Genomic DNA, 23,439 nt, shown 5'->3' with positions numbered 1-23,439 from the left:
AAAAAGGAGAAGGAATTTTCATTGGGTGTCCCTTAGATGAAGGTCTTGGACAGAGCTTTGAAAATACAAAGTGAAAAACACCAGTCTGACCATACAGAGCTCAAAGACATCTATTAGGATGTTGACAATGCAAGTATAAGCAATGAAGAATGGCACAGGAGATGCTCACCCAACCTGGAGGCAGAGGTTTCGCAGGAGAGCATTTTGGAGGGTTGCCCTTTAAGGTCTACCCTCAGAGCTCACATGAACCCTTGATTGCAGCAGGAGGAACTGCTCACAGCATGCCTGGTACTCTGACAAACATGGGAATCACAGCACTGCAAGGGAAGCAGGCCTCAGGCACCAGATGTAGGGGCAAAGGCAGAAGAAACTCCAAACAGCATGCAAACTTCTTGAGGACTTGATTAATTGCTTTAATTAGCCAGCCTATAACTGTTAAGGCAAGTGGCATGGTTAGTAATAACACAAGAATGGTACCCAAGATCGGGCCTAAGCAACTGCTGCGCTGTTCTCCCGGCAACTGGACCCAGGTCTCTGAAGCTGGTCCTGGAGCCAGGAAAGAGAAATGTGCAGGGCGTGATTAAAGGCAGACCAGTGCTGATTAGCACAGAGTGTAGTACCTTGTCAGCACCAGCTCCCAGGGTGAATTAAGTGCACACAAAATGAATGTGTGTCTGGAAAATCTCCAAAGTGGATTTTATTCTTGCCCAAATGTTACCCAGTATTTTAATTAACCTGGGCTTATTGTTCTAATTACTTGAGTTTTATACCGTGAATTGCTGTTTGGGAGTGGCGATGATCAGTAAACACAATTACTGTGTATATTTCCAGCAAAGCTTTGCCCTCAAAATTTTATCTAAAAATAGTTATCAGTAACATAAATCTTTAATTTCTAGTTCACTGGGGCTAACAGACTGAGTAGGATGGAAGAAAAGGCTTTCTTAAAACATGAAGATGGCCAGGCGTGGTGTCTCATGCCTGTAATCCCAGCACTTTGGGAGACCAAGATGGGCGGATGACTTGAGGTCAGGAGTTCAAGACCAGCCCGGCCAACATGGCGAAACCTCATCTCTACTAAAAATACAAAAATTAGCCTGGCGTGGTGCAAAGGCATTATATATGCATGGACAGGTCAATAGTTTGCAATGCCTAGAACGCAGAGCACTTGTTGGAGAGCAGTGGCTGTAGACAGCAGAGAGAGTTGGGGTGAAGAGATCTGAACTTCCAGCCAAGCAATCTGCCCTTCATTTTGTAGACAACGGAGAGACACTGTAGCGTGTTCAGCAAAGGAGAGACATGTTCAGGTCTGTATTTCAGAACCATCTCTCTGATGCCAGTGGAGGATTAGAGAGTATGAAACTAAACATAGTAAGGCTGAAAGTAAATTAGCTCATTAGTTTAGACACTCCCAGGAAAAAACCACATGAGGTTACATTTCTAGCAAAAAGAAGGGGAATAAAATTGATCCAACTTATTAAGCATCTACTTTGTACCAGGCTCCAAGCTCGGTGTTTTACACCTGTGTGCTCACTCAATGCACACAGCAATACCACAGAAGGGGGAGGGCACTATTATCAGTTCCATGTTGCAGAGGAGGAAAATAAGGCTCAGTGAGAGTCAATGGATTCACAAGGTCTTGCAACTAGAAAGTGATTGAACCAGGATTTGAACCCAAGTCTATTTGATGTCAAAGCCAGTACTCCACTGTGGTTTCTGATCCTCATTGGCTTTCTTCAAGGGTCAGTATGGCAAAGGTCAAAAGAAACACACTTGTAAGAGGGTCATTGTGGAAGACATCATTCCCTGTGTTGTATATGATATGCATCAAGTATCAAGTGAAGCATTATACATTTCTTAAGAGTTTGTAATAAATTCCTTTGGGAATGTAATGCCAAGAAAAAATTTCCTCCCTTAAACAGCAGGATCATGTGCTTTCTCAGATAATGAGAATCATTTAACCCATTCTTTTCTCCACTTGACTTGTTTACCAGGAAGCTCCGAACTCAGTTATTCTGTTAGCCCAATCACGATATGTACTTTCCCATCTTTGAGCTTCCTTTTTGATTTTATCCTTATATTTTATTTTAAGATATCCCAAAGCGTTTTGGAATACAAATGCAGGGTTTATAAGAATAATCACACAAAATGTGCTTTCTACTTACTTGATTCTTCTTTCATGTCTTTATTCTGAATAAATCTCAGAATAATAGCCATAGCGGGCAGGCCCATGTTTTCTCCCTCCCTGGGTTCTGTTTGAGATGTGCTTGCAGAGAGCAACATTATTCTTCTGCACATTTTTGGTACATGCTTTAGCTATTTGTTTAATTGTGCATTCAGTACCCACTAGATACCAGACACTGTTGTGACATACCACATCACATTTAATTGCTCTAATATGCAAGGTAGTTTGTGTTACCCCCATTATACAGATGAGAAGACTGAAGCTCAGAGTCTTAAATGATTTAAATGACTTGCCTTGGGTCACACAGATAATAAGGAATGGAAATGAAATTTCAACTGAAGTTTCTCTGATGCCAAAGCCTATTTACTTTTTTCTCTGCCACAAGAGGTCCAATTTCCTTAATCCCTTTGAAATGAGGCAAGACTGTGTGTCTCATGCAGCCTCCCTACCTCCCTACATTGCCAGCTTCCCAATTAATTAAAAGAAGAAGAAGAAAAAGAAAGGTCTGGTCCAAGCTATATTGACAAGACTAAACATCCACACTGGCTATTTTCCTGACCTAAAGTAAGTGCTTTCAAAGCATAAAAATAGAATCGTTCTTTTCCATTTGTCTTTGTTCTTAAGAACCACAGAGTGAAGGATGTGTCAGAGCCCCTGACTTGCCTATCTTTGTAAAAAATATATTTTTTTAAACCTTTTACACTGAGCTCTTCTGCTTTTTATGAGGCCTGGTAATGAAAACTCAATGTGAAAATCCTGACATCAAATCCATGTTATATAATAAACCCCTACTTTCCCAGCCATCCCCAGAAGGGCAGACTTCAGTGAGAACATTTCAGAACTGAAGTACTAGGAATTCTTCTGCACAGTGATGTACATCTCACTTTCTCCCTGTCCACCAGGGATGGAATGATGGATTCTTTTGCTGGAATCCGCATCTCAAGAATACCCAAGTTCTTGGAAATATGCATGCTCAGCCAACAAGGAATTGTGTCCTGAGAAAGCTCAGCAGTCTTAGATAATAGCACTTAGGGAGTCCCCACCTCATGGTCTGGTATGGAAAGAAAGAGAAAGGAAGAAGGAAATTAATAGTATCATGTTAAAAACAGTACAGAGAATTTCCTATGCTAGCTCCCTTAATCCTCCCTGCAGCCTTTCAGCAAGGTTTCAATGAAAAGACAGAGGGTCTGAGTTGTCCCATGCTTGGCCCAAGGTCCTGACAGATAACAAAGAGTATAGACACAAAGGCAAGCCCACGTCTCTAGCTCCAGACCCCATTGCTTTTCCTCTCTGTGATAGTGCCACCCACACATAACCACAGAGGAAGCAAAACCTTGAGTAATCAAAGTATAATCAAGGTTAATCAACCTTAAGGAAACAAAAAATAACACATCCTCTGTGAGAGAACTCCATGAAGAAGGGGGTCACCAATGACATCTGTCCCTACCTTCTGCTTGTCTGAACTTTCCCATCTCTGTCAGGCCAAGTCTCTGCCACCATCACTTCTGGCTTCTCTGGATGGCCCTTCCTCACTTAGCTATTCTAGTCCGGATACGGAAGTGTCCCTTTCTACTTCGATTCCGCCAGGGAACAATTGGAATTCTTCAAACGGCATGTGTAATGGGCAAGTACAAGAAAGAAAATATGAGAGCAGAGATTCAATCAGCTTTCCAGAGAAGGGATTTCTTAGCAAATGTCACACAGGGGCCCATCGTTCAGTTATTCAAATGTCATAATAACCAGAGGAGTTTTTAGCTCTGAACTTTGTGGAGAAAGCACAGGGATTTGTAGAGAATGATAAAGTCCACATTCCTGTGATGAAAAAGACAAACATTTATTGGACCTAATTATATATAATAAACCACACAACGGATGATGACACCAGATGATGGAACAACCAATTCCTTTAAAGGGTAAGAAAAGAATAACTCTTAAACACTGTGGTTAAAGAAAGATTTTGAGTCCTATCAGGATTCTTCCCAGAGTGTGCAGAGCTGCTCATCTTCTTCTTCTCCTTCTTTCTTTTTTTTTTTTCAAACAGGGTTTCGCTCTGTTTCCCAGGGCAGAGTGCAGTGACGGCAATCATAGCTCACTGAAACCACAAACTCCTGGGCTCAAGCAACCCTGCCCACCTCAGCCTCCTGAGTAGCTGAGACTACAGATACACACCACTATGCCTGGCTAATTTTTTAAAAAAAAAATTTTGTTGAGATGGGGGCTCTCACTATATTGCTCAGCATTGCCCAGGCTGGTCTTGAACTCTTGGGCTCAAGGAATCCTCCCACCTTGGTCTCCCAAAGTACTAGGATTATAGGTGTGAGGCACTGCAACCAGCCCAGGGCTGCTCTTATGCTAACTGTTCACCTTAGGTTCTTGTTCACCAATATGGAAGATCGTGAGTTTTTGCTTCCACACTGACTCTCTTGAGAAGGAATTTCACTTGTATTGCACAGCCTGGAGTGCAATGGTGCAATCTCAGCTCACTGCAACCTCCGCCTCCTGGGTTCAAGTGATTCTCCTGCCTCGGCTTCCCGAAGAGCCAGGATTACAGGCATGCGCCACCATGCCTGGCTAATTTTTGTATTTTTTAGTAGAGACAGGGTTTCTCCATGTTGGTCAGGCTGGTCTCGAACTCCCGACCTCAGGTAAGCCACCTGCCTCAACTTCCCCAAGTGCTGGGATTACAGGCATGAGCCACCGCACCTGGCCCACACTGACTCTTTCTTGGTGATCTTTATGGATATATTTACTTCTCTCCAAAAAGCTAAGTAGGTGCAGCCCTTGCCGCTCATCCCTCTTCTTACTCATAGCATGGCTGGCCAGTTCTGCTGTGCTTGATCTTGCGGACCTTAAGTGATCTGCATCTGGGTCCTCTCTGATGTCTGCCATATTGGCTCTAAGGGTGGGTTCCACGATGCTTTCTCTACTGTGCTTTGAGAGAAGAACAACAGACTACATTTGGCAGAAAGGTCACTTCCTAACTTGGATCCATGGTGAAATGAAATTCTCTCATTACAGAGAAACCTGGACACCATGATACTTCCTGTGTCACCCCACTAAAAGTCCCAATAACAGTTTAGAATGCTGCCATTTAAGAATGGCTACCATTCAAAGCTTGTTTACTATACACCAGGCACTATACACCAGGTTTAACAGGTTACCTATATTGCTCTCACTTATTTCATTATTTACAGAAATCTACAGTATCAATATTATTAACTCCACATTAAAGATAAGGAGACAAAGCAGGAGAGATTGCATGGCTCACCCAAGGTCACATATGCAATAAGATGCACAATCGATATTCAAACCTAGGTCTTTATATGCTTGACAGCACTCCCAGAGACCACTGCAGGGTTGGAACTTTATTCTGAAGGCCAAGGGGAACTTGAAAAGACTGCTTTAGTATTTCAATATGGCAGCAACATAAAGCTGGGGAGATGGTGGAGCCATTTGCTGATGGTGGAGCCATTTGCTGAGAAACTCAAGAGGAAGGTGTTTGGGAGAAAAAGATGAGAGTCGAAACCAGGGAAATAGATGATTCTCCAAAGAAAATATGTGAAATAAGAAGCAGGGTTAAGAAAGAAGCCTAGGGATGAGCTGATGGCAAGGAAGAGTCTCCTCTCTGTGTTCAAAGGAGACCTCTAGCTTTCCTTCTGGGATACCTGCCACCCCACTCCTACCTGCACCTTGGGCTGCTACATAGAGTTGTGCTTCCCAAACATGGATGAGAAGAACTTCTCTCTCCATCTCCCAAACTCCTAGAGTCTCAGCTCCTAGCAGAGCAAACAGGTACATGAAGAATTAGCAGTTTCCTACCTGTGATTTGAATATATGCTCAGAAGAAACTGGGCTGCCCTGCATTCCCCTACCCTGACTATTCCTCCACCACCTACACACATCTACACACACACACACACACACACACACACAGATAGACAGACAGACACACACACATACAAACACACACAATTGCTAGGAGCAACCAGAATGTACATGGGGTGGTACATCATCTAGTAGAAAGAGCACAGTCTTTGGAGTCAGGTAGACCTGAATTTAAATCCCAGGTTTAATGTGGAACATTAAGCAAGTTATTTCAACTCTCTAAATGTCACTCCCCCGATCTATGAAATGGGCCAGTCATACCTAGAGACCTAGAAGCATGGTTGAAAAAATCAGATGAGATGCAAAGCAGCCAGGGTGGCACCTTGCACACAGCAGGTGCCCAACTAAGGATGCGCTGCCTCCCTCTCTTTCTCTTTCCAGCCTAGGATGGAACTGGAGTCTTGCAGAGGGTCTGAGCTTTGTACCATTCCTCCTCAGGGCTTTTGAACCCAGAGGGGCTCTGGCAGGTCTGTGTTTACCTAGGTCTGCATCTCTAACCAAAGCTGTAAAATCAGGCTTTGTGATTCCCAAGAAAGCTCCAGCCCTTGAACCAGATTATACTGAGATAAAAATGCAACTATATGTAGATAGATATAGAGGCAGATATAGATATACATAGATATACATTTATGTATCTCTATCTCTTACCTATATCTATCTATATATTTGGATAAGAAAAGTTTTCCTCCTGGCCCCCAAGTAATCTTGTGTACTGCAAACATCACTGAAATCAGCAGGTGCATGTTCCAAGAGAAGACGCTGTGTCTTGGACTCTATATGAGTACTTTTCCCCTTCTAGAAAAAACATTAAAAGAGAGAACAGCAGAAGATACAAGGTAAGGATCAAACCCTTGCACAGTCAGTGTCCAACTTCTTCAGAGGCATTTTTTACTTGGTTCTGAGCCTAAGGATCAAAGTCCAGGCTATTCCCTCAGATCAGCACCACAGTCCCTAACCTTTGTCCTCGTCAATGCACATTCATCTCCTGAATTAAGGAGGCAATCTTGGCACTCAAGGTCTCTCTGAAGACGAGGCTGGAGCTGCTCTAGTTTGAGGTTAATGATCAGCCTAGATGTGTATAAGTCTTAGAGAAACACAAACCCTAGAGGTCATCTAGTCAAATTATGTCATCTTAAAGATGAGGGACCTATTCCTGGAGAGACAAAGGCACAGAGTAAGTTAGTGGCAGAGTTGGGGCATGACCCTAGAGATCCTGATACCCAGGCCAGATGGTATTCTAAGTACCACTTTGCCCTGCCCCCAAGCATAAATGTCAACTCTTATCACCACAGACTGGCCATACAAATGGATATCAAAGGGATTAAGAGGTAGCATAGAGACATCAAAACACCCAGGCTTCAATGAACAAGCATCAAATAATGGTATAACAATAATACGGAGTATTAATATTACAGGGATACAATATACTTTGATAATATAGGATACCATGGTAGTAATATTATTCTATTACTCAACTTTGAAACCATTTTTGACTGATAAATACATCATCTTGCTTGACTCCATGGGGTGGAGGGGAGGAGTCATGGCATTCTAGATACAAAATAACCTCCAGATAGAAGAGCTTCTTCACCAAATCTTTATTTAATTAATGCCTACCACCTGCCAAGCACTGTGTTCAAATTTAAGATTACTGTCAAGAATAAAATGTGCTCTAAGATCACACTGTCTGCTGGGGACACAGATATAGGAGCACATGTTTGCACTGTGAAATGATGTGTACCACAATAGAAGTCTACACAAGGGGTTTTAAGGGATGGACACGGGGATGTACTTCAGCTTTGTGGACAGTATTGCCATCCTTTGGGATAAAGGCCACAAGAGGGGAAAACACATTAGGAGAAGAGAGGAGGAAGGGGACAGTGGAGGTGGAGGTGAAGGTGAAGGTGGTGGTGATGGTAGAGGAGGATAAGGAGGAAGATGATGAATTCAGTTTGGGACAGACTAAGTTCAACAGCCTAGAAAGCATCTTAGGTATGTGGATTCTGTTATGTGAACTGTCTCAGGCTCAGTTTTGTAGGAACCTCCCTTGGGCAGCACTTTAGTGCATAGCTCCTCTCTTCTGCCATTTATGTTCTGCTTTTCAAAAATGGATTGAAATATTGAATCTACCGATGTCTCATCTTTGTCTTTAAAAGAATCCTCCTTTTTCTTCTTTTACTATCATTTTAATGGGGTATATGAAGAAAAAGAGATGTGTGTCTGCAGACAATCTACGACATCTGACCAAGAATTTTGAAAGTCAATATCTGAGCTACGAGCAGAGGAGAAAGGAGGAAGATAAAGAGGAAGAGAAGAAAGAAAAAAAAAAGGAGTTGGTGGCAGAAAAAAGATCTGAGAAAAGATCCAAGTTGTAGCAGCAGAATCAGGAAACGTTGGGAATGGAAGAAAGCTTTTTAATCAAACAGAATTGGTCCGTTGCCACTTCATTATCCCTAGTTGCAGTGTGGCAAGCATTTATCAGCCTGGAATCAGAGAAATCTGTTCAACATACGTAGAACATGGCTACCTCAATGCCAAACCCCCATATGGTAGCCAGTTCAAACCCTGTCTACCCGACAAAGGAGATCGATAGTTATCATTGAACGGATTGACAAGTTCCATGAAGTGACCTATTCCATCTTTTTTTTCACAAAAAAAGGCACTTTACCTTAATTATGAAAGTGATTCATAATGTTGTTGGTATGTAGGCAGTACTGCCTTTTGCCAGAAATAAACCAGCTCAACCAATGTTTTGTGTGTGTCATCTAGGTTAAATCTATCAGAAGAATAGAGTTGTTCTTTTCTATTATTTTGTCTATCCTCCTACCTCCCTTCCTTTTTTTCATTCATCTTTCATTCATTCGTTTGTTCAGTGATGACACAAAGTTATTGAATACCTACAGTATTCCACGCACTGAACAAGGCTCTAGAACCAGAATTTGGTTTCTGGCTGGGCTGGTCTTAGGCAAGATGAGGAGAGGATAGTAAGACAGTACAGCAGGGATTGATTCATTGATTCCACCATGAAGTCCAAATGATTTGGTTAAGGCAAGAGAAGATGTAGAAGAGCAAGGAGCATAACACAGAAAGTCTTGGAAGCAGGATGAAGCAAGTCCACTATATAGAACCTAGGCCTTGAACTTCAGGGAGGGTTTTCTTCCCCTTGAAAAGAGGGGAGGAGGAAGATGTAGTGGCTTAAAGGAATCATGCATGGTCATTGAAATTTGCCATCAGTGAAAGAAAACATAAATTTAGAGATTTCTGAAATAATAAGCTGAAGGCCATTGAATCACTCTCCTTAATTAGCTTAGTTTTCTATCCCAGGCAAGAAATCTGTTATCAGTTCTGTTATCAATTTGTTTATAAAAGAACTACTATGTGCCAGGCACTGTTTGAGGTATTTAGAACATACCAGTGTACAAACTCAAGATCCTTTCCTTCATGGAAAAGACATCCTAGCACAGCAGAACCTATGGCACTGAGATGAATAAGAAAATCTTAAAACAGGAGCTAACAACCGTTGCACAATTATGAGATAAGTGCACTGGCAAGAGATTGGTAGTGAATATTAACAACCACCATTTATTATTCAACAAATATTTACTGAATACTTACTATATGTCAGGCTCTGTGCTTTATGCTTTACATGTGTTATTTAATCTTTATGCTGACCCTGCAAGGCAGGTATTATTATCTCCATTTTTCAAATAAGGAAATTAAGACTCAGAGAGTTTCAATACCTTCCTCAAGTTCCCCCACCAGCTTGCAATGGAAAAGAAAAGAAGGAGTGATTAATCCTGTCTGCAGAAGCAAGGAAGAGTTTTAGAGAAGGGGAATGTTGAGCAAGGTCTAAGAAGATGAGTAGAAGGTCGGGTGTGCTGGCTTATGCCTGTAATCCCAGCACTTTGGGAGGCTGAGGCGGGTGGATCACCTGAAGTCAGGAGTTCGAGACTAGTCTGGCCAACATGGTGAAATCCTGTCTCTACTAAAAATACAAAAATTAGCCAGGACTGGTGGTGAGGGCCTATAATCCCAGCTGCTCAGGAGGCTTAAGCAGGAGAATGACTTCAATGTGGGAGGTGGAGGTTGCAGTGATGAGCCAAGATCATGACATAGCACTCCAGCCTAGGCAACAGAGTGAGACTCCATCAAAAGAAGACGAAGAAGAAAAAGAAGAAGAAGAAGAAGAAGAAGAAGAAGGAAGAGGAGGAGGAAGAGAAGGAGGAGGAGGAAGAAGAAGAAGGAGAAGACCACCAGGTAAAGAAATAAGGAGAACACTATCCAGGCCTCAAGTTCAAAGTCATAGTGTTGTAAAAATGTGATGTGGATTTAAGTTGGGAAAGCAAGAGGCTTTACTAGCTGAGGCAAAGCGTTTGTAGGGTAGGAAGTCCCATGAGAGTCTTGTAGGTGGATGGGGCCAGGGTGAGAAGGGCTTTATAAGCTAGCCTTTCCCAGAACTTCCTGGAGTTTTTTCAAGAAGAAAATATATAATATATAGATATATACAGTACACTGGGGCAAAAGGACAGGGCTGCAATCTTGAGTAGTCCCTGGGGCTCCTGATGCCCCAAGCCTGCCTCGTTGCCCCAAAAGCTGTGAGGATCAATACCTACATTTCCTGTAACACACTGTGTGACACAGCACACAGATTATGAATGTGTACAGTAAGAAATGAAGGGCCATTGACGGATTTTAAGCAGAGCAATGACATAATTACAATGGCAGAGTGGGGAATGGATTGGAGAGGAAGGAAATCAAAGACAAGGAGCCCAGTTAAGAGCTATAATAACAGAGTAAGCTCTAGGCTGTAGACAACAAGAGCTGAACCAAGGTAGTAGCGATGAGAATGGATCTCAGGCCATGCACTTGAGAATGATTTAGGAGGGAGCATCGACAGCCCTTGGTGATGGATGGAATGTGGGAGAAGTGAGGGCTTAGTTGAGGATAAGTCCAAGCTTTCTAGATAAAAAAGAGACTTCAAATTCATGACCAAAATACCTCTTCCCACGAGTAAAACTGCAGTTCCAAATTTAAAAGGATACATTGTCAATACTCCACAAAGCAGGGCAGACATTTAACATTTCTCTGTATTAATGTGTGGGTATGTGAAATGGAAAAAAACAGGCTAGGGGGAAAAAACACTCCAAGAGAAGTTTGCATTCAGGAAGCTAATAGACAGGACACATTAGCTTCTGACATCCTCTGTAAGTCAGAATGCTGCTGTCACTTACCGCCTGAGAATTCCAAGTCCTATGGAACAAAACCCTAAAATGTTTCTGATAGAGGCATGAACGTTAGAACTGTTTTCTCAAATAGAATTCCATTTCTCTTTTATCGTTTATTCCTTCAGGGAAAAAAATGTGGTAAAAACTGGTCTGTCATTGTTTTTAGTTTAAGAAACAGGAAAGAGAGAGAAACATTTAAATGCCATGAAATTCCCTTTTATAGAATGACTAAATATCGACAACATAACCCAACTGGCTGCAATGTAACCAATTCTGAATATTGAGCCATGTATCGAATAATAACTGTTTGCTCATTAGAAAAAATGGCTATAGGGAAGCTTTTATCTATGGTGATTGCTGAAACAATTGGCCAATGAGAGAATGAAATTGTTGTTCAGACTCTCTTACAAAGAAGTGTCATTTTTCTGAATAGCCAATGTGTCCAAGAATTAAGGATTTATTTATTCCTTTAAGCATCACAACTTTTTTTTAATGAAACCATTTGGCTGAAATTCCTTCTGCAATAGATCCTGTCCTTTCCTATATCCTTACGCGGATTATACAGAACAAAATGTAATCTTGATGGCCCAAGATCATCATTGTGAGTTTCAGCTATTGTTTGGGGCTAAAAGATTCGGGACTATTTGAAATGTGTGGAGTTTGCCCCAACATTAAATGACATCATTTTAAACATCTTTTTTATGTTTTTTAGTTGTTTTGCCTTCTTTGTTGTCAGGTGTTGGCTATACATTCTAGCTACCAGTATTCTTACGTCTTAAGCCTTTTTGTTTTCATAACATAGTATTTCTATTCTGCTGAAAGTGTGAAAAACAAATAACCAAGCATGTTATCATGATCGTGCATAAAGTAAGAGTAAGTAGGCTCCATGAAAATACAAGGGCTCACTCATGCTTAAACCATGCTGTGGAATCCCTGGTGCCTGGAAGGCTGTATCATGTAATGCAGGAGGCCGGGGGAAGAGGATTTGATATCAGCAAAATCTGCGTTTAATCTGAAATAAACCATTTGATATCTCTGAGCCTGATTCTTCCTTGGTACCAATAAAAACAACATCTACTTTGTTAGGGATACCGTGGGAGTTAAATGAAATAATGCATGCAAAGTTCCTAGCACCATGCCTGCCACGTTACTAGCCTCAATTAATTAAAGCTATTAATAGTATGGATTTTGTGACATGCATTTTGATTCCTCAAAGGGTATTTTTCTTATCTCCTTATACTGCCGCTCAACTGAAAATAAAACACATCACGGGTGCTAACACCAAAGAAAATTCGAACCGTAGTTAAAGATGGAAGCACAGTTGTAACTGGAGAAAATGCTCAGGCCCTTCAAGCTATGGAGATCCAGCCAAGGGTCAAGGGCACCAAACCAGGTCTCCAGGCGGAGACTAAGAACAGACGGCAGACGCACTACAAGCAGAAAGGACACAAGGGAACACCACCTGATTGGGGACAGTTTCGCATCTGAGTTTGTTTTTATTATGGGTCACTCTCTGGTCATGTATCTACCATGTGACTCATTGCTGGGTTTTGTGTTTAAAATGGATTGAGACTAAGGCGGGGATCCTGGTACAGCTTCATAAGGCAGGGGCATCCAGGAGTCAAAAGCCAGGAGGAAACATACTAGAATGGGCAAAGGCCAGGGGGAATGAGGTCAGCCACATCAGGCAGCAGCATCTGTGGCTCACTTTTACTGGTTGGTGGGCAGTGCCAGGCTGGGGAGGACAGTCAGGTCAACCAAAAGGTCCGAGGATGCAGTGGCCCCTATTACAGTAAGAACACTTTATAGAGACAGAAAAGTCTTCTAATTCCAAAGTACCTTTCCTAACTTGGTCCTGGTAAGCTTGCTTGGATTTTGGTTTGTTTGCCTAAAATTTTAATAACTTTACCCAAAGAACCTATTTGTAACTAAACCCTGTCTCGCCTAAATTCTCTTCTGACCATTGTTCATGTTCAAAGAAATGTTTCACTGAAGTTGTGATGTGCTTGGATGTGCTCTTTGGACTCAGATCTTTTTTTACTCAGTACTTTTTATATCTAATGCAAAACACTGGCATCCTTGTCATGTTCTTTTCTTAAAGTGTCATAATTTCCAGATGACGTGGTATCACCATCATTTGCCTGGCCATTCCTCTATTACTGGACCTGTGAAATGTTTTGTTTTCAATTTGTTATTTTTTCCCTCTATTATGAAAAGCTCTACTGTGAATTATTTTGTACTTTTACTTTGCTTTGAGGTTATTTCCTTGGGGAACCCTAGGGTATGGAATCACTAGGTCAAAGGGTATGAACTGTTTTTTTTCATAGCTCTTATTACTTACCAATGTTAGGCACTTGCCTTTATAACTCCAAGAATTTTCAGAAAACCATTTTGAATCTAATGTTGTGTCTTAGTGCCATAGGCTGCTGAGAAATATTGAATGAATAAACGTAAGCACTGCTGGGAAAAGGAAAGTATTGATTTAAAAGGAGAAAGCAAGGCTGAAGTCTAGAAGAAGGAAAGAAGGAAGAAAGGAAGGGAAGGAGGGTAGATGGGAAAATAAGAGGGAAAAAGGGAGGAAGAACTGAAAGGAAGGGAGACAAGCAAGGAAAGAGAAAAGTGAGAGGGAGAAGGAAAAGAAAGGAATGGAGGAAGGGAGACAAAGGGGGCTAGGTTGAAACCCTGTGGTTTGTAAAGATGTGTTCCTACTTTGTGGCCATGTAGTTGCTGTCGGTGTGTAATGTCACTTCGATGTTGAAAGAGGAAATGTTTTTGTGTGGCCTTCTGCAATTTACTTAGCCAAGCCTGGTACTTGAACCTATGGGTACCTCCCTGAACCTCTTCCCTACAAGTGGGCTCGTATAGTTTTAGTTCTGTCCCGATGGTGACATTACACCCAAGCTCGGAAAAACATAGCTCCCAGATCTACAGCAGATTACTGAGAACCCACTTCAGGCCCCAAAAAATTCTGCTTTCACTTTCTTCATCTCCCCCAAGGGTTTTTGCAAAACTCTGAACTATGCCACCACCCACTTTGTCTTTTCTCTTTCTAAACTCTGGGTGTTCTGCTTTTCTAATAATTACCAATATGTTGGAATCACACTTGAGTTGGAATCCTGGCTCTGCCACCTGGGTGGCACATTCTGTGTGACCCCAGGCAGTTAACTTTACCTCTCTGAGACTCATTTCCTTCACCTGAAAAATGAGGGTTAATTCAGTGCTGGATTCTAGTAAGTGCTTAGTGAATGGTTAGAGTATGGGATTATGGCCATTACGATTTAATCTATGTTCAAACCAGAATCAGAGAGAATAGAATTGGAAAGACAAAGCTTCTGTGTCCTCATCTGTAAAACAGGGATAATATTATTCAACTGACAGAGTTGTCCTGAGAAACCACTCCAAGATGCCCATAATAGTACCTGGTAGATACCTGGCTGTACTCTGTGTTAACTTCCTTCCCTCCCCTGCCTTCTCTTCCCCTTCCCTTCTGTTTGGGTAATCACACAGGTCCACAGGACTGCAGAAGAATATATTAACTCTTCCTTTCTGCTCTTCTTGTGGGTAGACAGGGAAGATAAACTAGGAGTAGAGAAACCAGAGGAAGTGGTTTGGCCAGGTCTTTTACAAGGGAAAGAGAGTAAACAACCCCTTAGTGGGTGAGACAGGAGAGCTGTGGCTAGGAGGAAATGCAGCCAGCCTGAATGGAGGCTTTTGACACATCAGCTTGGCCTTAAATCTCTAAGCCACTGCAGAGGGCCTGTATGCAAGACAGATTAGGAGCTGGTTAGTGAGTGCTCCCTGAAGCAGAGGTGAGAGCCAGGTGAGAGCCATGATTAAGTCATGACTGAAGACAGTTAAGGGGACAGTAAAGGAATTGTGAATAAAATGCCTCATTCTACCTTGGGTTTTATATTTCATTAAATCCTATTTTAGCTGCATATCTTTTCGTCACATGAGTGGATGGTTACTGCTGGAGAAGGTTATTACGCTTAACTATTTTAACGAGAGTTTTGTTATGTGTATGGGACAGCAAATTGGGTAGAAAAGTGTGCAAGAAAGACTCCATTTCTCTGCTAACGTTATGACCACAGCCAATGCTGCAACCAAAACTCAGTTATCTAAACTGATAATAAAGCAATGATAGGCAAGGGATGCTGAGGGAAGGAGACATTAATTATGAAGGTGGCCCGAACTTAGAAAGTAGATGCCACCAGTCAACAAGACACCTTCAGGAACACCAAACCCCTGTGAGGAGAAGGACATGGACATTGTTGAAGAAGAAGAGGGTCTGGACATCTGAAGGAGAAGCTGTGCTGCTGTTGCCTCTGCCTGTCTCAGATCCTGGCTCCCAGGTGAGCCTCGTGGGCAGAGGTAACAGGATTCCCTGTTAGTGGATGTGAGAACATGGGAATGAATGGAGAAACTCAGGAGAAAACAGAGAAAGTGCATGGCAATGGCTCTCAGACCAGTTGAGGGAAAAAGACCTCTCCCTGGGACCCTCCCAGCATGCTGTGCTCATCCCTGATAAAGCATTTATCATGCTTTATTTAAATTGCCTTTTAATAATTAACATTTCATATGAATATTTAATATTTTCTTTCTCATGTCCCCCACTAAACTGAGAGCTAAAGCAAGGACCACATCTAAGTGGACTTTGTATTCTCAACATCAAAGACAGTGCCCAACATCCATTAACTGCTCAATAAATAACCACTATAGTCATTACTTTCAGCTAATTTCCAGCCACCTTAATTAAGGTCTGATGCTCTAGAGCCAAACTACTTGAGTTTGAATCCCAGCCACAGACTAGTCACTTATCCACATTCTGCCTCAGTTTCCTTTCATGTTAAAGAGCTATAATGGTGGGACATACTTCATAGAGTTGCTGTGAAGATAACATGAGTTAAGTCTGGCCAGGCGTGGTGGCTCACACCTGCAATCCTAGCACTTTGGGAGATCGAGGCAGGAGGATTGTTTGAACTCAGGAGTTCAAGACCAGCCTCGATGACATGGTGAAACCCTATCTCTACCAAAAAATACAAAAAAAAAAAAAAATTAGCCAGGCATGGTGGTGCACACCTGTGGTCCCAGCTACTTGGGAGGCTGAGGTGTGAGGATCTCCTGAACTGAGGAGGCGGAGGTTGCCGTGAGTCGAGATCACCACCACTGCACTCCCGCCTGGGCAACAGAGTGAGACATCATTTTTTTTTTCTAAAATAAATAAATAAATAAATAAATAAATGAATAAAAAGAATGAGTTAAATCATGTTCACTGAGCACAGTGCCTTACAGATAATGCTCAATCAATGTCAACTATCAAATATCATTATCATCCTCATCATCTTCATTATGTCAACTTCTCAGTGACCAGGGACAAGTCACTAAACTTACCTCAATTTCCTATCTTAGTTAAACTGCATGCTCGTTAAGATGACTTTTTGCACTAACACCTTCTGGTTCTCTCCCTGTTATGTTTTACCCACTCTAAATGTTAGTTACAGAAACTTCTGAATCCTAAACTGGATCTCTCTGCCAACCAAGGCATGTTTGGACCATCTTCCTAGACCAAGAAGAGCTGTGTGCTTAGGACATTCAATTGCGTGTGTTATAATTAGCCTGAGAAAAATATGACAAGAAAATTAAATCTTATGCAAATACACAACATAATGCACTTCAGAGGCAAACAGAAATATCTGCATAACCTGCTGTTTAAGATTATCCACATGAGAGCTTTCATCCATTAGGGTATCTAGCAAAGGGTTAAGGGAAAATCTGATCATAAGATGACAAGCTTGTGTACCACCTTGTCATAGGACCTGCTGTCCTTTTTGGATGGGAAAACAGGATAATGGGAAATGAGAAGTTAAGGAAAATAACAGAAGTTGAAATGAGGTGCCAAAGGAAGGCAACCATAAACTAGCTGAAAATACTGAAAAAAAAAAGGTGTGAAGAACATGAAATACAATTACTTTAGTCAACAACATTCACTGACTGCAACCATTTGTGTAGAAAAAAAGGGCATATAAAGACTATGTACACTTATGTATATTCATAAAGTATCTCTAAAAGACCACGCAAGAAATTGATGGCTTTGGGAGCCTCCAGGGAGGAAAACTGGGTGGCTGTGGGGGCTGGGGATGGGGTGGAGAAACTTTTTACTAGATACTCTTTTGTGTTTTTTGAAACATGTGAATATGTTACCAATTTCAAAATGGATTCTTTTTAAAGATCCTCTCATAGGGTGAGCAGAGAATGAGTTAGAAGTTGGAACCTGGATTCTGGTTGTGCCCTTTATCAGTATCAACCGGTGTGATTTACAGCAAGTCTCTCCCAACTCTGGACCTTGACTTCCTCCGCTGAAAGTGAAAGGGTTAAATTATATTTTATACCCAGCTCCCACTTCACAGGGTTCTCCATTAAGCAGGGACCACAACGCTTCAGCCACACTTCCTCCAGCCCTGTGGAGCATGAGCTTCCTAGCTCCTTTTACTCTGGACCTGGTCCTTCTAGCCCACGTTCTTTCTTTTGGTGGTCATGGCCCCTTCTTTGACCTCTTATACCTGGGAATTGCTTGTGATAGAAGAAAGGGAGCTGAGAGCTTGAAGTCAAGTAAAATGAGAATGACTAAAAGGGCAAAAAACCACTTGGTGCATCTAAAAAAGACCCCAGAAAAAGAGAGAATTAGGTGAGGCCAAGCGTGTACAAAAAAAAACAGAGTGAGGGAGAAAGGCAGTGGAGATGCTGAAGCACATGAAAGGAAGGAAGGAACAACAACTCCAGTGCCAGTTCCATGGTGGAAGGAAGGGAAGGGTGTAGGAATATCCATGTGCAATGAGTAAAACCGCAGGGGAGAAGTCCTCTCTCTCCTTCCACCAGTACAGGTGTCCCCATCATGACTCCTGGACATTTGCTTAGATGCTATAACACTGGCCACCTCTAGGGCCCCACATGCCACCAGTAGCATTGACTGAAAGGTATCAGATGGCTCTGTTCTGTTGCATTGGTCTATAACTCTGTTTTGGTACCAGTACCATGCTGTTTTGGTTACTGTAGTCTTGTAGTATAGTTTGAAGTCAGGTTGTGTGATGCCTCCAGCTTTGTTCTTTTCGCTTAGGATTGACTTGGGATGCAGGCTCTTTTTTGGTTCCATATGAACTTTAAAGTAGTTTTTTCCAATTCTGTGAATAAAGTCATTGGTAGCTTGATGTGGATGGCATTGAATCTATAAATTACCTTGGGCAGTATGGCCATTTTCACAATATTGATTCCTCTTATCCATGAGCATGGAATGTTCTTCCATTTGTTTGTGTCCTCTTTTATTTCGTTGAGCAGTGGTTTGTAGTTCTCCTTGAAGAGGTCCTTCACATCCCTTGTAAATTGGATTCCTAGGTATTTTATTCGCTTTGAAGCAATTGTGAATGGGAGTTCACTCATGATTTGGATACCATCTCACACCAGTTAGAATGGCGATCATTAGAAACTCAGGAAACAACAGGTGCTGGAGAGGATGTGGAGAAATAGGAACACTTTTACACTGTTGGTGGGACTGTAAACTAGTTCAACCATTGTGGAAGACAGTGTGGTGATTCCTCAAGGATCTAGAACTAGAAATACCATTTGACCCAGCCATCCCATTACTGGGTATATACCCAAAGGATTATAAATCATGCTGCTATAAAGACACATGCACACGTATGTTTATTGCGGCACTATTCACAAGAGCAAAGACTTGGAACCAACCCAAAGGTCCATTAATGATAGACTGGATTAAGAAAATGTGGCACATATACACCATGGAATACTATGCAGCCATAAAAAATGATGAGTTTGTGTCCTTTGTAGGGACATGGATGAAGCTGGAAACCATCATTCTCAGCAATCTATCACAAGCACAGAAAACCAAACACCGCATGTTCTCACTCATAGGTGGGAACTGAACAATGAGAACACTTGGACACAGGAAGGGCTTGTCGTGGGGTGGGGGAAGTGGGGAGGGATAGCATTAGGAGATATACCTAATATAAATGACAAGTTAATGGGTGCAGCACACCAACATGGCACATGTATACGTATGTAACAAAACTGCACATTGTACACATGTACCCTAAAACTTAAAGTATAATATAAATAAATAAATAAATAATAAAAAGGTATCAGAGAGCACCCCTAGCTTCAGGCAGAGTTGGAGAGAGAAAAAGGGAAGAGAAGAAGAGAAGGGAAAGACAGGAGGGGAGAGGGAGGCAGACTGACACAGAGCCACGAAAACTACAGAAATAAGACCAAAAAAAAAAAAAAGGCAGAGAAAGGGGAAAAAAGAGATTGATTTAGGGTCACAGTTACCCCCACAAAAGCCCATGTGCCTCATAACATCAATAAACTTTATTATTTATTTATTTATTTATTTATTTATTTATTTATTTATTTATTTTGAGACAGGGTCTCACTCTGATGCCCGAGGCTGGAGTACAGTGGCATGATCACAGTTCACTGCAGTCTCGACCTTGCAGGCTCAGGATCCCCCCACTTCAGCCTCCTGAGTAACTAGAACTACAGACGTGCACCACCACATCCAGGTAATTTTTTGTGTTTTTTGTAGAGACAGGGTTTTGCCATGTTGCCCAGGCTGGTCTCAAACTCCTGAGCTCAAGCAATCTGCCCATCTTGGCCTCCCAAAGTGCTGGATTACAGGCGTGAGCCACTGCACCTGGCCAGTGAATTTTAATATTAAAAGTAATGTGGCTCTTATCACCATTTGCATAACAGCCCTAAAAGAAAGTGCATACAGCATTCTAAGCAGCACACCAAGAACCCATCATTGCTGTTTCATCTCTCCACCCACCACCTCCATGAAATTCCTGAAGCAAGGGGACGGTCAAGAGCCCCCAACCACCCGCAGAAATATCAGGAGCTAGAAGTACCAGATCAAGAGTAAAAGGGTTGGTAGGCTTATACTCCACAGGGCTGGAGGATCACATTGCGAGGAGATTCACACCCAAGAGCCTATCTCAAGAGCAAAAACTACAGGAGAAACAGTTGAAGGAACTGGTGACATTTAGCCTGGAGAAGAAAGGATGGTCTTGAGGACTTCACTAGCAGGTGGACTGCTAGACCCCTTTCAGCATCAACGTGCTCTGATTCTATAAAGAGTTTGAAGAGTTTCCATGTGAAAGAAATACCAAAGTTATTTTTGTGTGGGTCCCCATGGATAAATTAGGAGAAATGGGAGAAATTCACATGGAGACAGACTTCAATCTGATGAAAGGAAGAAGCTTTAAACACAGCAAGATGTTCCAGAATAGAATTGATTACACTGTCACTGAAGGAATGTATTGAACGGATTCCTACAGTGGGCAGGAAGGAGGCTTAGGTAGTATCTCAGATACTTTCCAATTCTGAGCCTCTGAGTAGCAGGTAAACAGGAACACTGAGGGATCCAGTGAAACCTGATCAAGCCACACAAGTGTCAGCTCTGAAAATTGTATTACAAAAACAGAAAACCGTGTTCACTTACATTGATCTCCCCTCCCAACAGATTCATTTAATGAGAGAAAACAGCTTATCAGTGGTGGTGGTGGTGGTGGTGGTTATACCCCAGAATGAGGGCAGGCTGGCCAGAAGACTTTCCTGCCACTGCACACAACATCACACAGAATGCCAGAACACCAGGCATGGTGAACAGATGTTTCAGAGATAAACAAGGGAAATTTTCCTAAAAACTTATGATTGGCACATCACAATGCTAAATGCTAATTTCTTGGTGGAGAGGTTATGTGGGTCACCCCTGTTCTGCCTCATGAATTTGTTTTTCTGGCCAAGGGAGTCTTCCAGGATGGTAACACTAATCCACAGGAGCTATTGTGTCCAAGTACCTCTGAGAACTGAGGCAGCGTGGACTAGGGCTGGAGAACACAGGGATGGAGTGACTACCTGGGCAAAGCCTGCTCTCCTGACTGGTAGCTGTGTGGCTTAAAGTGAGTAACTTAACCTCTCTGTGGTTAAAGTTTCCTCCTCTTTAAAGTAGAGAAAAAATGGTATTTGCCTCATTTTGAGGATTAAACACTTAGAGCATGTATGATACTTGTTTTTAGTGTAAAACACTTACAGGAGGCCCTAGCACTTAGGAAGTCCCACATTTATATTATTATCATAATAATATAATTTTGTAAGGAAGTATGATGGAGGGGGGAAGCCCTGCACTTTGAAATGAGTTAGAGTTGGATTCAAATCCTGTGCATGCACCAAGGATTTGCATCAACAATGGTAAAAATAGCCAGGCATGGTAGCACACTCCTGTAATCCCAGCACTCTGAGGCTGAGGCAGGAGGACAGCTTAAGCCCAGGAGTTCAAGACCAGCCTGGGCAACATAACAAGACCCTCATCCCTAAAAAACAAATAGTGTATAAAAAAGGCCAAAATACCTCCCCCGCAGAGTTGGAGTGAGAAATTAAATAACATTTATTTATGTGCCTAGTTCTGTACCTGGCGTATAGTAGTTGTTCAAGAAATACTAGCTCCTTTTTCCTCTTCCCCGGTAACAGTGTTTCATCAACGTGCTAGGTCACTGTGCTAAGAGGTAGGGATACAAATATGAAGGAGGTGTAGTCCCTGTCTGCAAACGGGTCATAGTCCAGCAGAAAGGCTTGGACACAAACAATGATAAGGGCTATCCTAGAGGTATCAATCTTCCAAGGTATGCTGGGATCATAGGAAAAACATGACCCAAGTTTGTCTGGGAGAATCAAGGAAACCTTGACCTAGGAGGCAATGCATAAGCTGTGATTTGAAGAAAGAACAGAATTTCACTGGGCTGGTCAAAGAACTGGTCAGAGAAGAGGGTGGGAGTATTTCAAGTTGCATAGAGAATGTGCTGCATACATGTGCCATAAAGAGAGCCATCAATCATTGCTTGGAGTCACTAGCTGCCCGTGTGTCTTTCTCTAGATTTCTGTGTCAAGGCCCCTTGAGGCCTAAGCAGGATACCCCTCCTCTCCCTGAAAGAGCTACCATCTGGAGAATTCACAGGAAATCCCATGGCAGAGAAGACAGTTGGTCAATCAAAAGTAGCACATGTACATTTCAAGGGGGAAATAGCTAGGAAAGAGCAAGCCCACAACAGCTGAACACATCAGAAACCCAAAATGTTTTAAAGGCTTTTATAAAATAGAGCTTCATGCCACTCCAGATTTATGATGCTGGAAGATGGCACATGCTTGTCCTGGTTGCTTCATCAGTAACTGCACTGAGGTCACTAGGTCACCCCACCTTGGCCAAGACACGGGTCACTGTGGCATTTCCAGGACCCTTGAGACCAGGCTGGGAGCACTGGAGTATGAGCCTTTGGTAGAGGCCCCAGTACAGCAGGCAGCTTCAGAACCCTCCCCTCAAAGCCAGCAACAGACATCTTCAAGCAACCAAACCCAAAGCAAACTGTCATCAATGCCCAACTGCAATAGCTTTTTCCCCAGATGAGTGAGAAGGGTTTCCAGGTGTGTGTGTGTTGTGTATATGTATGTGTGTTGTGTGTATGTATGTATGCAGTATGCATTGGGTATATATGCATTTAAGTGTATATGTTGGTATACATGTATGTTCATGTATATGTGTGTTGTATGTGTAGTGTGTGTGTGTGTTTGTGTATATGTGTGCTTGTACATGTGTGACTGTGTGGATGTATGTATGTGGGTGAGTGGGAAATGAGGGGCTCAGAGGTCCTCTTCTCCAGAGACCAGATGCAGGGAGTCATCACGCTGTAAGGGTGCCCTCAGGTCAGTGGGGAGGGAAAGCCCATCCCAGCACTGCTTCTCTCCTGCTTGGAAACCCACAGCTCATTCAACAGATCTGGCCAAATTGCCCCTAATTCATCATTACAAAGACGGTAAAACTCCTCTCCACACCCAAATCTCTGCTTCCCCAAGCCTCCTCTCCCCAAAGGATACACACGTTGGTCCTTCTTCCACTGGAGCATCCTCCCACCCTTGGAGTCCCTTCACACTGCCTCCACCACCAAATTCTACTCTCCGGATAATGTCTGGAAAACCCCTTTATCTCATGGAGTAATGGGGCTCCAAGTGTTCCCTGTCCCAGCAAGGGGAATGGGAAAGATGGAGTCTCCTGTCCCTGGAAGTCCTACTCCCCCTTCCCACCCT

At 42.5% G+C, this 23,439-nt stretch overlaps 1 protein-coding gene across 1 annotated transcript in view; it reads left to right on the top strand.

Moving 5' to 3' along the window:
- ASIC2 (acid sensing ion channel subunit 2) overlaps positions 1–23,439 on the top strand; it is a 1,143,682-nt gene that overhangs the window by 839,225 nt on the left and 281,018 nt on the right. The window lies entirely within an intron of this gene.

This window comes from Homo sapiens, chromosome 17 (assembly GCF_000001405.40).
Source record: "Homo sapiens chromosome 17, GRCh38.p14 Primary Assembly".
Lineage (NCBI taxonomy): Eukaryota > Metazoa > Chordata > Mammalia > Primates > Hominidae > Homo > Homo sapiens.
The sequence above is the reverse complement of the archived record's forward strand: the minus strand, read 5'-3'. Positions and strand labels throughout refer to the sequence as shown.